General features: G+C 38.3%; 5 annotated features.

Annotated features, from left to right (window-relative positions):
* Positions 9,618-9,762: an enhancer, noted in NCBI's record as "145 bp enhancer 14 fragment used in the MPRA reporter construct; PK_construct_1561". NCBI's record gives its function as "activates an SV40 promoter by MPRA in HepG2 cells {active_cell/tissue: HepG2}" and the evidence as "EXISTENCE:reporter gene assay evidence [ECO:0000049][PMID:23512712]".
* Positions 9,618-9,814: a biological region, named in NCBI's record as "HNF4 and FOXA motif-containing MPRA enhancers 14 and 42".
* Positions 9,670-9,814: an enhancer, noted in NCBI's record as "145 bp enhancer 42 fragment used in the MPRA reporter construct; PK_construct_1198". NCBI's record gives its function as "activates an SV40 promoter by MPRA in HepG2 cells {active_cell/tissue: HepG2}" and the evidence as "EXISTENCE:reporter gene assay evidence [ECO:0000049][PMID:23512712]".
* Positions 9,684-9,697: a transcriptional cis regulatory region, noted in NCBI's record as "HNF4 motif; enhancer 14 activity is reduced when this motif is scrambled". NCBI's record gives its function as "necessary for full enhancer 14 activity {active_cell/tissue: HepG2}" and the evidence as "EXISTENCE:site-directed mutagenesis evidence [ECO:0005528][PMID:23512712]".
* Positions 9,736-9,747: a transcriptional cis regulatory region, noted in NCBI's record as "FOXA motif; enhancer 42 activity is reduced when this motif is scrambled". NCBI's record gives its function as "necessary for full enhancer 42 activity {active_cell/tissue: HepG2}" and the evidence as "EXISTENCE:site-directed mutagenesis evidence [ECO:0005528][PMID:23512712]".

Raw genomic sequence — 15,082 nt, forward strand, 5'->3', positions numbered from 1 at the left:
ATATAATTCAGTCTGTTCTCTCTTCAATGTGAACGCCAGCTAGCCAGGAGCTTATTCCCTGAAGCACATTTTAGAATACTGTGCCATACAACTTAATATATAAAGCTACTTGTCAGGCATTTCCAAAAATCAGGGTTGCCCGGAAAGGAGTCTCAGAGCCGGAACAGCCTTGGGAAAGGGTCACATCTGCCTTTAGCTCCCCCGTTTCCACCCTGCTAAGTACCCCATGGTCATCCTACCCAGCCTGGCTTTGTCCTTCCCAGGCCCCAGCCTCTCAGACCATAGATACTCCATCCCCATCCTCATCAAAAATGAACTTGCTTAAATCCCTAGGGCTTTATGCTCTGATTGGGTGGCTATATGTGTTTGTGATTGTGTGTGTGTGTGTGTGTGTGTGTGTGTGTGTGTGTGTGTGTGTGTTTCTGTGTGTGTATAGATATGAGTATGCTCCTCTTATATAGAGACAGATTTGCATTTTATCAAAATCTTTCTAAAAATAATGCATTAAACTATGGGCATTCTAAATTTTTTTCTTTAATCAGCATCATTTTTTCTAAATAAAGAACCCCCAATATATAAAACGAAAGCAGAATTTCTATGATTAAAGTAAGATGGGGTGTTTGGAACCCATGACTTGAACTTCTCACCTCCCCTAGGCAACCCGTGAGTCTGGCACAGTACCGTGAAGCTTCAAGTCATGCAATTTTAATGCATCCCCTTAATTCAAACAAGCAATGCTGGCTAGCCAAACTAACAAGAGCAGTGTTTCATAGCAGAAAATCTTTGTGTCCTTCCAGCTAGATCCCATGGTTATCTGCCTTTTTTTTTTTTTTTTTTTTTTTTTGGAAGAGCTGGCCATGAATCAAAGATCACTTTTTGTTGTGGCTCATTTACTACTATAAAAGATTCCTTCGAATGCCTCATTCCTCACTTGCTGAATTTTATGAGTGCCAAGCTGTCTGCAAGAAAGCATTTCCTTCCTCTTAACAACAGCAAATCTGTTTTGTTTGATTCTCCCTTAAAATTGATTAATATTTTAATTTTCTTACTTCTTCATTCCCAGATACAATTGCTATACAAGAAATAAGTGTGAATACTGAACAACTGAAAAAATGGGGTGGTATAGGCAGAAGTAAATGGGTCTTTGGATGCGTTGCTGTAATAGAGAAGTAGGACAGTCTAGAGGGGGTAAATGTCATGATCAAAGACAGATTCAGATTTGAAGGATCAAATGCCAAAGAAACAGAGAATGAGAAAAGAAGCCTGCTTCCAAAAGAATAAAGGGTGACGGGTTAAATTACAGGCAGACGCTCATCTTAATGATGTGCTTCAGTTTATTGCACTTTTCAAATACTCCAGTTTTTTTGTGTGTGGTTTTTGTTTTTTGTTGTTTATTTGTTTCTACGAATTGGAGTTTTGTGGCAACTCTGCATTGAGCAAGTCTATCAGAGCCATTTTTCCAACAGCACGTGTTGACTTTGTTTCTCTGTGTTGCACTTTGGTAGTTCTCACAATATTTCAAATTTTATTATTATTATATATGTTATGATGATCTATGACCAGTGATCTTTGATGTTACTATTGTAATTGCTTTGGGGCACCAGAAACTGTGCCAATATAAGATGGTGAACTTAACAAATGTTACGTGTGTTTTGACTACTCCATAAACTGGCCATTCACCCATCTCCCTCCGTCTTCTAAGGCCTCCCTATTCCTTGAGACACAACAATATTGACATTAGGCCAATTAATAACTCTACATTGGTCTCTAAGTGTTCAAATGAATGGAAGTTACACATCTCTCACTTTAAATCAAAAGCTGGAAATGATTTTGCTTAGTGAGAAAGGCATGTCAAAAGCCAAGATAGACCAAAAGCTAGGCCTCTTGGGCTAAACAGTTAACCAAGTTGTGAATGCTGAGGTAAAGTTCTTGAAGGAAGTTTAAAGTGCTACTTCAGTGAACACTCAAAGGATAAGAAAGCAAAACAGCCTTATTGCTGATATGTAGGAGGTGTTAGTGGTCTGTATAGAAGATTAAACCAGCCACAACATTCCCTTCAATCAAAGCCTAATCTAGAATAAGGCCTTAATGCTCTTCAACCCTGCGAAGCCTGAGAGAGATGAGAAAGCTGCAAAAGAAAAATTGAAATCTAGCAGAGATTTGTTCATGAGGCTTAAGGAAAGAAGCCATCTCCATAACATAGAAGTGCAAAGTGAAGCAGCAAGTCCTGCTGGAGAAGCTGCAGCAAGTTATCCAGAAGATATAGCTAAGATCACTGATAAAGGTGGCTACACTAAACAACAGATTTTTAATGTAGATGAAACAGCCACATATTGAAAGAAGATGCCATGTAGGACTTTCATAACTAGAGAAGAGAAGTCAAAGCCTGGCTTCAAAGCTCCAAAGGATAGGCTGACTCTCGTAGTAGGGGCTAATGCTGCTGGTGACTTTAGGTTGAAGCCAATGCTTATTTATTTACCATTTCAAAAAATTCCAGGGCCCTTAAGAATTAAACTAAATCTATTCTGCATGTGCTGTAGAAATAAAACAACAAAGCCTGCATGACAGTACATCTGTTTACAGCAAGGTTTACTGAATATGTTAAGCCCACTGTTGAGACACACTGCTACGGAAACAAAGAAGATTCAAAGTATTATCATTCATTGACAATGTACCTAGTCATCCCAAAGCTCTAAAGAAGATGTAGAAAGAAATAAACGTTTTCTTGCCTGCTAATACAATATTCATTCTGCAGCTCATGGATCAAGGAGTAATTTTGACTTTCAAGTCTTATTATTTAAGAAATACATTTTGTACAGCTCTAGCTGCCACAGATAGTGATTCTTCCAATGGATTTGGGAAAAGTAAATTGAAAACCTTCTTGAAAGGATTTGTCATTTAGATGCCCTTAAGAACATCTGTGATTCACAGTAGGTCCAAATATCATTAACAGGAGCTTGGAAGTTGATTACAAGCCTCCTCATAGAAGACTTTGAGGAGTTCAAGACCTCAGTGGAGGAGGTAAGTGTAGATGTGGTAGAAATAGCCAGAGAACTAGAATTAGAAGATTAGAAGTGGAGCCTGAAGATGTGACTGAATTTGCTGCAATCTCACTATAAAACAAATGAATGAAGACTTGCTTCTTATGGATGAACAGAGAATGGTTTATTGAGACGGAATCTACTCCTGGTGAAGATGCTGTAAACATTATTGAAATGACAACAAAGGATCTGTCAAAAGAAATGATTTAGAATATTCTATAAACTTAATTGATAAAGCAGTGGCAGGGTTTGAGCAGATTGACTTCAATTTTGAAACAAGTCTATGATGGGTAAAATGCTATCAAACAGCATTACATGCTACAGAGAAATATTTAGTAAAAGGAAAAGTCAATTGATGAGGCAAAGTGTATTGTTGTCTTATTTTAAGAGGTTCCACAGCCACTCCAATCTTCAGCAACCACCACCCTACTCAGTCATCAGCCATCAACATTGAGATGAGAACTTCCAGGAGCAAAAAGATTACCATTTGCTGAAGGCTCAGATGATCATTAGCATTTTTAGTAACAAACTATTCTTAAAAAAAGGCATGCACATTTTTTTAGACATAATGCTATTGCACAGTTAATAGGCTATAGTACAGTGTAAAGACAACTTTTATATGTGCTGAGAAGCCAAAAAGTTTGGACTTACTTTATTGCAATATTCACTTTGTTGTAGGGATCTGGAATCTGGAACCATACCTACAACGTCTCCAAGGTATGTCTATATGAGGGACTCATGTGGATAGGTAAGTGTGTGTGGTTACCTGTATCAAGTACAGAAGACAAATAAGCATGTGTTTCCCTCCAGAGTTCCTGGTACTTGCAAGTTGATGGTTACCCTGGAGGGCTGAACAGGGTTGGACAGCAGGCAGGCACTAGGGATGGAAGCAGCTACCTGCAATATGTTCTTTTGGAGTATAATGAGGCCCTTTCCTATTTGCTGTGCTATGTTCCCAGAGCATAAAGTAAGCTGCCAGAATAGCCCAATCTCAAGGTGGAATATGGCAGTCACCAACAAGAGCAGCCTGGTCTTCATCATAGCATTTGCCCAGCTACGTTAATTAGATAATTTGTTTTCACCGTAATGAAGTGAGGCCAGTGACCATAACTAACTTGTGTGCATTGAACTGAAGAAGCCTCTTTCAATAATTTACTTGGGAAATAACAATGAGCAAGGAGCACAAAGCATTCACAAAAAGATAGAATAAGAATAGCAGACTTTGCGATCTCCAGCGTGGCTGTTCCTCTGCTTCTTACTCTTCAGGAATATACAATATCCCCCTAAGTTGAAGATGCAAGGTCAGGATGTGGCTGTTCCTTCCTGGCTTTAAGAGCTAAGGATCTATGGTGTTTCATGCACCTTGTTGAAAGGTGAATTTGCAGTGGGATGAAAAATGAATTTCATCTTATGTGCCATCCTTGGTACCTGCCTGGAACACTGCTGAGAAGGGGTCCTAGGCTGGTTCCAGGCTCAGCAGGAAAGAGTGCCTGGTCAATGGATTAACAGCACCCACCCCAAGCCCAGGGCATCTGTGCCTGTTTGCCTGTTCACAGGGCCTCAGCAGAAGGTGCTCAAGGTCACTATTACTATACTAAAACTCGCCTTTACATTGAAGATGATGCTACCAAGAATGTTTCACAAAGACAGTGAGTGTTTGTCACATGTACAATTAGTCAATGAATTATTATTTGCAGTGAGTTATATCTAAATCTAGTTCCTTCACATTGGTAGGAAATTCTTTATTTTCTCTGTAAATAGCCAAATCCTGGGAAACAAATGATACTATACTAAGACAATCTAAGTCAAAATAAATATTAGGCATTTCCAAAGGCATATTCCTTGGCATACTTCCTAGAATGGTTCTCATGAATGATAATGTTAGTTTCATGATTAAGAAAATTCTTTGAAACCCAGTTGCCCCCATTTCAAGAGTTTCCATTGTTAATTTATATTGGAAACCACAGTACCTAGCACACATCTTTTATAATGATCTTTAAAATGAGTTCTTTAGGTGTATGGCTGATTTCTAGATGAATATATTTTCATTTTTTCTTCTCTTGCTCCTTGATACTTGAGCCTGGACATCTAACTCACACTAATGTGAATGTAATCCTAAGGTGAACTCATTCAATGTTAAAATGAGGTGATACTGACATGCTTTCAATGAGGCATCAGATCTTTGATCATCACTGTAAGGTCCCTAAAGGAAAGTTCCTTAATCACATTGGCCCATTATCTTTATTAAGAGGCTCTGGGCACCACTACCTTCAAACAAGCTCTGAGAAATAGGATCTGACTTCTGGGGATCAGTAATGTCAGTAAATGTCAAACTGTTCCCTTTCTCCTAATCTCACCTACATGATGATGATTTAATTATGAAACACACCTTGGGCTTTTCAGTCTAGATTTTTATATATTTATTTTGCATGGAGAGTAGTGTTTCCTTATGATACCAAAAAAATATGCAAATAGAAGGACATAAAATATATAGGAGAAGTAAAGCCATTAAAAATATCTGTTAGCCAATAAACTGATAAAAAAGATCTCAATACAACTTCTGTTTCAGCCTTCTGATGTGTTGAGATAAGAAAGGAAAAAAGAAAGAGCTAAGGAAGGCATAAAGGCAAGTAGGGAACCAGGAAAGGAGTAAGGGAACAGACAGGAAGGAACAAATGACAAAGGAAAAAAGGTCAAACGTGATTTACTTATTTATTTAACAGACACGTAGAAACTTACTCCGTGCACCTTAAAAAAATTAACTCATTGAATCCTCCTAAGAAATTAACAGGTAGGGCTGATTATCATCCCCGTGTTACAGACAAACTGAGGCACACAGGGAACAAGCGTTTTGAGTATTTTGCCCAAGGTCATACAGCTAGTAAATGGTAGAACTTGAGTTTTAATACAGGCAGTTCATTGAAAATAAATCACTTCCTTTATAAATAAAAAGCATTAAATCAACACATTTTTGAAGCGTATAATCTAGAGCAAAACTATAATGAACATAATAATAGTCTTCTAGTAAAAATAAATTTTGTAAATGTAAGTGATTTTTTTATGATCTGACATGAGAAAAACCATTATAAGTTTTACCAATACCACTTTTTCAGCTACTTTCGTTCCTAATCAGCATGATGCTTGTAAGTGTTATCAATAGTGATCTTTAAATGCTTCAAATTTGAAATTTTAAATGTTTCAAATTTTAACTTGGAAGACTAACACTCTGTTATACATAAAAAGATGGGAATTATAAGAAAAAATGCACAAAGCACTTTCAGACAAACATGGGTTTATGCTACGGCATTTAAAAACCCCTTTTTAAAGTTTTCATTTTTTAACTTTTACTTTTTGATAATCTTAAGTAAAACAATAAGTTCATTGCCCTTCGATTTTGCACTTCCTGTGCATTTGTTCTAATGCTATTTTCATCCCTTGGAATTAGTCAGATTGGATTACAAAAGGCTAGCACTTTACCAACTGTGCTTAGCCCTTGAAATCTTGAATCTTTCTGGCTAGTCTGTCAATTACATGATTAAACCTGATAAACTACATGCAATTCCACACAAAACTGAAGATCAGAGAACTCTCCGATTGGCTCTAAATATATTGGCAAAGTGGAGCAAATGAAAAAAAAATTAATTTTGTCTGATCAAATAAAAAATATTGGTCAAAATAGTTCCTTGATGTAAGAAACACGATTTGAAAATCAATTTTGGTGGATTATAAATTAATAAGTGATTCTAACAAAGATTTTCTCAGGCATTCTGCTAAGAAAGCAGACCAAAATCAAACATCTATCAACTGTTAGAGCTGACAGGAGCTTCGGAATGAATCATTTGGCTAAAAAGCTGGCCAAGATCACTGGAAGTCCCAATAAAGTAGCAAATTAATCACAGAATCCTTTGTACACTGTAACAATCCACATGTTCTCTAGTCTACTTCAATAGAGCCATTGGCCACAAATGTGTGAAAAGTGTGATTTAACTACATGGAAAAGTCTAATTTGCACAGAGCAGATTTGACAAGAGCAATGATCCACCATACTTCGCCTGAGCTATGGTTATATCTACCTTGATCTTGGAGTTGACCACTAACCAGGGCTTATGCAGGGAGGGCATCTATATACTAAGGACAAAGTAATTTTCTCTATATAAATATGTTAGAATATTTAAGAAATTTCATGTCATTGTCCTCACGGTTCAGTGTCCTTTTAAAATATGTGCACCGGTATCATATTGTTAAGAAAATAGAGACTAAATTAAATTACGCAATTTTAAATTAAAATAAAAACTGAATTTTGATCTTAACCGGCAAGTGTGTCCATTTATTAATGATGTCAGCTGGTCTTTAAATGTGTCTATCAGCCTATTCATTGGTCATTCTACCCACATGCAATCTTGTTCATTTACTAATGATTTCAGCTGCTCTGTAAATGTGTCTGCCTATTCAATCCTTATGAACAATACCTTTGATCACTTAATTCACATAGGTCTTTGGAGAGAACAAGCCCTGCTACTGACAGTGCTTCTGCCTAAATCACCCCAAGCCTTCGTTAAATTGACCCTTTTATGTTTAAAGTTGAATCTTCTCCCTATACCCAAATTGCGAAACATGATTTCCCTGGTGCTTTGCACTTCACAATCTACATTTATAGTAATGCCTCAGAGACAGTCTGGCATTCTGCAGCTTCCTCACAATAATGAAAGCAAAACTGAGACTGCACACCCCAAACTCCGGAGCAGCATTATCAACAAACCTTGCTAGGATCGTAACTTCCAGAGGTGAGGGGAGGCTGGAGACAAACCATAGTCACACGAGACAGACAAGTATCTTCCTCACAAGGCTGCATCACAAGAAGAAAACTTCCCATTAAATGCATGATGTAAGCAAGTTTGGAGACACAATGAGTGGTATATGCTATCGATCTATTTCCTGCACGCTGAACACTTGTTGGATCAAGTAGAAAAAATAACTGTTAAGTTATTCACTATTTTTCATGTGGCTATGATACATTCTTATATGTTTATGCAGAAGCAATAAAATCACTTGTTGAGGAAGACAAACATTCAGTGTTTTCCACACCAGGAATTATTTCTATCAAAAGTTTCCTTGGAAGCGTATTTCTCATTAAATTGGCACATTCCTAAAGCACAACCTTCTCTTTACCAAGATACTGTTCCTCTTGTTTAAAGTACTGATCTCAAAACTTCTCAGTAATACCATTTAAACCACTGCCACTAATCAAAGTCCAGCTGCAAATGTGAAGCATTTACATTGGCTGAGAAAATACGTTTTGTGAAATTTTGTAACAAAGCACTGACATTAAATAAACATGACATGTTTTCAAGCAAGCATGCCTTTTTATTTATAATTTTTCATATTTTTAATGTGTCCTGGTGTTAACTTTGTCTAAAAATCTGCTAGAGTTCATGAACACTGAAGCCTTGGGGTATATAAGAGGTTCATTAGCTTCTTATAATTTTTATCCTTTAAAAAACCTGAATAAATCATTTATTTATTTTAAATCACTACTAAATTATCAATATAGCTATTTCATTTTCAATAAATCCCTTGCCAAAAGACAAAATCCCATGTACTAGTAAATAACTGAATAAACAAAAGCAGAGCATGCTGTAATTTTTACTGCTACTATAATCAACACAAAGGCAACAAGAAATTATTCTACAGTATCACTCTAGCCAAAACATTTTAGAATCATGTGACATGTGACATTTCTTGGGATGAACTGATACTAGGAAATAGCCTTTTGTATCTGTCTTTTTTCTTTGAGACGGAGCCTCCCTCTGTCGCCCAGTTTGGAGTGCAATGGCACAGTCTCGGCTCACTGCAGCCTCCGCCTCCCAGGTTCAAGCGATTCTCCTGCCTCAGCCTCCCGAGTAGCTGGGATTATAGGCGGGTGCCACCGCGCCCGGCTAATTTTTTGTATTTTTAGCAGAGACCGGGTTTCACTGTGTTAGCCGGAATGGTCTCAATCTCCTGACCTTGTAACCTGCCTGCCTCAGCCTCCCAAAGTGCTTGGATTACAGACGTGAGCCATAGCGCCCAGCCTTGTATCTGCCTTTATGTCTATCTATAGGTACTGGGAAATTGACAGTGTTTCTCAGCACCTTTCCAAATATTTCTGTCCTCCTAACAAAGAGTAAAAGTCCTGGTATAGATCAATGATGAGTATCATAGAAATAAACAGAACACTCAGAAATTGCTTTTAAAAATGAGTGTTTCAGGTTAACATCAATCACATTGCTTTGTTTTGTTTTTGTTTTGTCATCATTCATATATTCTCAGCACAAGCTTGCCCTGAGCATGAAATTCTTTTAGAAAAAAGCCCTGGGGTAGGTGTTGACCCACTGACATTAATGAGAACTCCGTATTCTGAGAAAATGCACTGCCGAGGGAAAGGAGATGAGAACTTGGCCACAGATCACATCAAAAGAGTTTAGCCAAAGATTTATGCAAAGAAATTTTATTCTAGAGTTGGCCGTGCTCTATAGCGAAAGCCAAGCTTTTAGTGTGCTGTATTGGGAGTCTGGCTTCTTTCAAACTACAAAATGAGCAAAATCAACTCTCTTTACATTTCGAAAGGAAATAGCACTCACACTGACAACATAGGCATTATTTGAGTCCAAAGTTCATTTTAAATAAATATATATGGTTAAACAAAATGATCTGCCTTAAGTCAACAGAATTATGACTTGCGCCAGGAGAAAATAAAGGAAAGCAGCTGAGGCTGAAAAGCCCAGGCTGGCGTTTGGGTGGGAGGTATGCCTGTGAATGCCGAGCCTTGACAGTTCGCTCCGACCAGTTATGTAATCCAGAATACAGCCCGCGTGGAAAAAAAAAAGAGAGAGAGAGAGAGACTGGTAATAAATAATGGCTTAGCAGGTCTGCAGTTAACAGAAAGGAACATTTAATTAAATAGTAAATACTTGGGAATACAGATTTGGCTTAACATTAAACACAGATCAGGTAGCAAGTAATTGGAACAAATGTGTGGGATTTTGCATATTTGGCTTTTTAAAGCTTATTCTTACCTTATAAATATTTTTCTCACTTGACGTAAAATATATTAAATAAATCTGGTAATTGGAAAGATCCCATTTTGCCATTCAACTGTAAACCCAGTAGTCTGAAATAGGCTTTCCCTCAAAAAAAAAAAAAAAATCCAAGGAGAAGGATACAAGTGCCCAACATACTCCACAGATGTCCCTCCATTCCGAAGCTACCAAGACCTAAAATGTCAACATTTCATAATTAAAAGGAAATAGTCCCTCTGCATCCTCATTAACTATAGCAACTTTTGAAAAATGACATTTCCTACCAAATCAGCTCCAATTTATTTTTTGTCTTTTGTGGGATACTGCAAACTCATTTAGCAAGTCAGTTTTGTTACTATAGTGACAGACTCAACCTATTTAAACTCACACGGAGGTTTTCCCATGGTTTGCTGTATTTGGGAGCAGCCTCAATGTTTGCACGAGGCAAAACCTTCCTTAGAAACTGAATCTGTACGGCCGGGCGTGGTGGCTCATGGCTGTAATCCCAGCACTTTGGGAGGCCGAGGCGGGCAGATCACTTGAGGTCAGGAGTTCAAGACCAGCCTGGCCAACATGGTGAAACCTCATCTCTACTAAAATACAAAAATGAGCTGGGCATGGTGGCGTGTGCCTGTAATCCCAGCTACTCGGGAGGCTGAGGCAGGAGAATCGCTTAAACCCAAGAGGCGGTGGTTGCAGTGAGCAGAGATCGCACCACTGCGCTCCAGCCTGTGTGACAGAGCAAGACTCTGTCTCAAAAAAATAAAAAAAAAGAAAGAAAGAAGCTGAATCTGTACATATGGCACACTCTAGAAACTATCTGTGAGAGAGAGTACATTTAAAAAGAGATTTCAGATTCACTCTTCCCACTAGATAGTTCACGTTGTTTTTGAATTCAACCTGATTCTCACCACCCACCCCGCCCCAGGGCAGTGGTTCTCAGGAGGAAGATGGTGGACACTGGTTTTGTATCAGAAAAAACTGACTGACGGTGGGGGCACAGGAGATGGGGGACACATGTTCAAATAACATTGCTTTCCAGAAATCTTATTTTGCATGTTCACTCACCCCTGTTGCTTTTGAAGCAACTTTTCCTGAAGGAAGTGTACCAGGTCTCAGGTGTCTTGGTGTGAGCCAAGAAGATGGGAACAGAATTCGATTCCAGGGATGGACAGGGAACTATGCTTGCAGGAATCCAAGAACTCAGCATTCCAGGTGTGAAAGAGTGGATTATGTGCTATCTTGGCTGTGCAACTGGGAAAATGGCTTGGAGGTGGCGGACTGGGAACTGATTTAAGAAAGTGAAAACCTAGTCCGTAGTGGACAATGAAGCTATAAATTGTATGGATAAGACTTGGGTTTTAAGTCACTGGTTTCGTTTTTCATGCTGCCCTGCTTTATGTAAATGCTTAGCACGAATAACAAACTGTCCATTCATTTTAAATGTTATTATTTCTAAATGAAAGATGTTGTGGAAAACTTGGAGAAGTGAAGGTAAAAGGGGAAGAGAGAAGGGTGAAGGGAAAAATGAGTTTCCATGGTTTTTATTCTGCTTTCTCATCACATGTCCATGTCTGGAGTCTAGATACTTTTTCTTATTTTCTTTCTGGAAAGGGCAGTTAGCTTCTGACACAGTTAGTACCTTCCCTTCTTCCGTATCCCTCTGAAACTCTTCTTTTGCCATGAAAGCTTTTTACACGTATGCTCCTTTAATGGTTTTTATAATAAAAGAATAGTTGTTTTTGAAAGCCACAGCAAGCATCCCATGTTTTCATCTACAGGATTTGGGATTATGGCCGTCCATGGGCACTGTCTTAATTATTTCTTAAGACATTGAGGCAAGAAAGTGTCAGTGATTCCACAGCACAGCTATGTTCTTGATATTATCTAAAAATAAAAACTACAGTATCTTTACATGTGTATGATTTTGCTTTTAGGTTCTTATGTTACAGAATTCTGGATCTGAAATTGGCTTTCAATACCTTGAGGTTAAGAATTTCCAGAAAACATTCATCATATTTTTTTGAGATTCTAATTTGTTTAAAAATTATTTAAGAGCTAACGCTTCACTAGCAATGCATTGAGAAATGAAGAACATGCTCAGGGAATCTTTAGATACCATCTGAAATCTTGGATTTGAAAAAGTCCCTTCAAGTCAGATTTTCCTGAAAATCACTGTACCAACCTTAAAAAACGGGGAGCACCAGTATTTCAAGAACCCTCTAGAGAAAGGGAATCTGAATTACAAAATCCTCAGATAACACAATTATTTATAAGCTGAATGAGGAGAAGGCGCAAAATGATAGCTATTCAATGTCAAAAGAAATATTTTATTAAAAGAAAAACAGAAAGAAAAGAAACAGAATATGAAAAATAGACAGTCTGGATTGTTGAAATGAGAGGGACAAAGAAAACGTAGACACAAACAGGAGTAGCCCAAACAATGAAAAGCAGCCTTGAGACAGAGGCTCAAGATTGACATTACTTGGTGTTTTGTAGTTGCTGTATTGCAATAGCATCATACAAGGGGGTATGTGTGACTCATGAACATATTTCTCATTTTACAAGTGACAATCTTGTATTGGTCTACCATTCAGAGGTCCTGTATTTTTTTTATCCAATAAAATCTCTTTTTCTTATGAGTTTGCAAAACAAAAATAAAGAAGATTTCATTGAATAAATACTTAAATTCTACTTATTTATTTCAAATCACAATTTGATATTTTCATGCTTTCTATGAGAAGTGGCTGAGGAATAAATGGTTTAATCCCAAAGGGGTAAAGACTGCTAATTCTGTCGAGAAAAATGTAAGCTCAGTGTCTTAGTCTGGGCTCCCCACAAATAGAGAAAAGTGCTTGGATGCAGGTAGTTTACAAGAAAGGCATGGAAACAACCTAAGTGTCTGCCCATAGGTGAATGGATAAAGAAAATGTGGAATTGGAATTTTACAATGGCATTTTCAATGGAACACTATTTAACCTTAAAAAAGAAGGAAATCTTGCCATTGTGACAACGTGGGTGAACCTGCAGGACAGAATGCTAAGTAAAACAAGCTAGACACACAAAGACAAATAATGCATGACCTCACTTATATGTGGAATCTAAATAGTTGAATAGAGAGTAGTGTTGGTTACCAGAGCTTGGGTGTGGGGAAAATGAAGAGCTGTTGGTCAAAGGGTACAAACTTGCAGTTATAAGAGGAATAAGTTGTGGAGATCTAATGCAAAATTTGGTAACTGTAGTTAAATAGTAACAATGTGTTATATACCTGAAATTTGCCAAGACAATACATCTTAACTATTCTTACATGCGCGCACACACACACACACACACACACACACACACACTATGTGAGGTGATGGATGTGTTAATTAGCTTGATTGTGGTAATTTCATAATGTACAGATATATTAAAACATCACAGTACACACCTTGAATGTATATAATTTTTATTTGTTAACTATATCTCAACAAAGTTGGAAAAAATGAAAGAGAAGTGAAGGAGCAGGAAGAGCAAGATGGAGAGGGAGAAAATCCAATAAAGAGTCCACAATGTAGGTTGCAGCTGTGAGGATGCCTCTCAGAGCTGAAGGGAAAAAAAAGCACACACACACCAGCTGCCATCCGCCACTGCCTGAGAGCTGTCCCTAGGAGTATTAACTCCCTTGTGTTTCTTCTCAGCTGTGCCTGCCTGTATCTGGGGCTGAAAAGGGCTTCTGTTTCTTACCAAAAAAAAAAAAAAAAAAAAGAAGAAGAAGAAGAAGAAGAAGAAAGAAAGAAAAAATCCTAAGGCAGAAAAACAGAGAGAGGAACAGAGGGTGATTGAGGTGGGGTGCAGGTGGCATGCACACAGATTCTTCACCACAGCCATAGTTAAAGTCAGAAGTGGGCCCAGGAGAAGAATGGAGGACACGGAAAGCATTTGCGTTGGTTCATCTTCACATGGCTTGGATCTACAGAGGCCACCTGATAAACTTTGTCACCTATTCAAAGAGGTGGCCAGCATAATCCCTAACAAACACACAGTAAATAGTAGGACAAGCAAACATCCCACTGCACAGCTAGTACCAAGGTCAACACTAGACTTTGTCCTCTCCCCCTTCACTCCCTGCTTTCTTCCCTCAGCCAGACCTTTAGCTGCTCTGGGAGCTTGCCAGATTAGATGACACTGCCTTTCACCTCTTAGGGTCTGAGTACCTTTGGTGGCTCTGGTTAGTTGCTGCAGTTGCATGTTGACTATTGTCACTGACGATGGGAGCACCAAGAGGTGATCCCACTGAACACAAGTTCTAGATTATGCCTCCCTGTCGCTGCTCCCTGTAACACCATCTCTAGCTACTCATGATGATTGTGGTTATTTCTCCTGGCTGCTCACTCCTTTCTTTGAGGGTTGCCCTACCAGGATGAGGATCCCAAAGTGACCAGAGTTGTAATTGTAGCTTCAGGTTGGTTGATTGCTTACCCTGTCCTTGGAATCTGAGACGTCTGATCCAGCAAAACCTAAAATAGTGGAGCTGGGACTCGTAAATTCTGCAAGTGGGCTACTAAGAGTTTTAATAAAGGACACCAATTGTATTTCCACTCTTTGTTCCCAGACCCATGTTGTTGGCTATTAGAGACCAGCTATAGGAGACCACATAATGTTATTGAATATTTACTGTATATAGTCTATTTTGGAGAACAGAGCTACCTTTATAAGTGTATCATCCTGAACTGGTTTTTTAGCTGAGCCTTTAATAAGTCACTTAATATGGATTATGGTAGAAAAAATGAGTCCCACAGTCACATGCCCTCTGTCACACTTCTACTGCTGAATAAAATGAGTCCCTGAGTCCAAGATGATGTTATTCAGGATCCCATATCAGTAAATCAGGCATTCTCAAAGCACTCTGATAATGGTACTATTCAACAGAGCATCCAGAGGTGGTTCCTGCAATCAGTATTGTGACAGAAAGCAAGAGAACCAACAGCTCTGGAGTAAGAG

This window comes from Homo sapiens, chromosome 8, assembly GCF_000001405.40.
Source record: "Homo sapiens chromosome 8, GRCh38.p14 Primary Assembly".
NCBI lineage: Eukaryota > Metazoa > Chordata > Mammalia > Primates > Hominidae > Homo > Homo sapiens.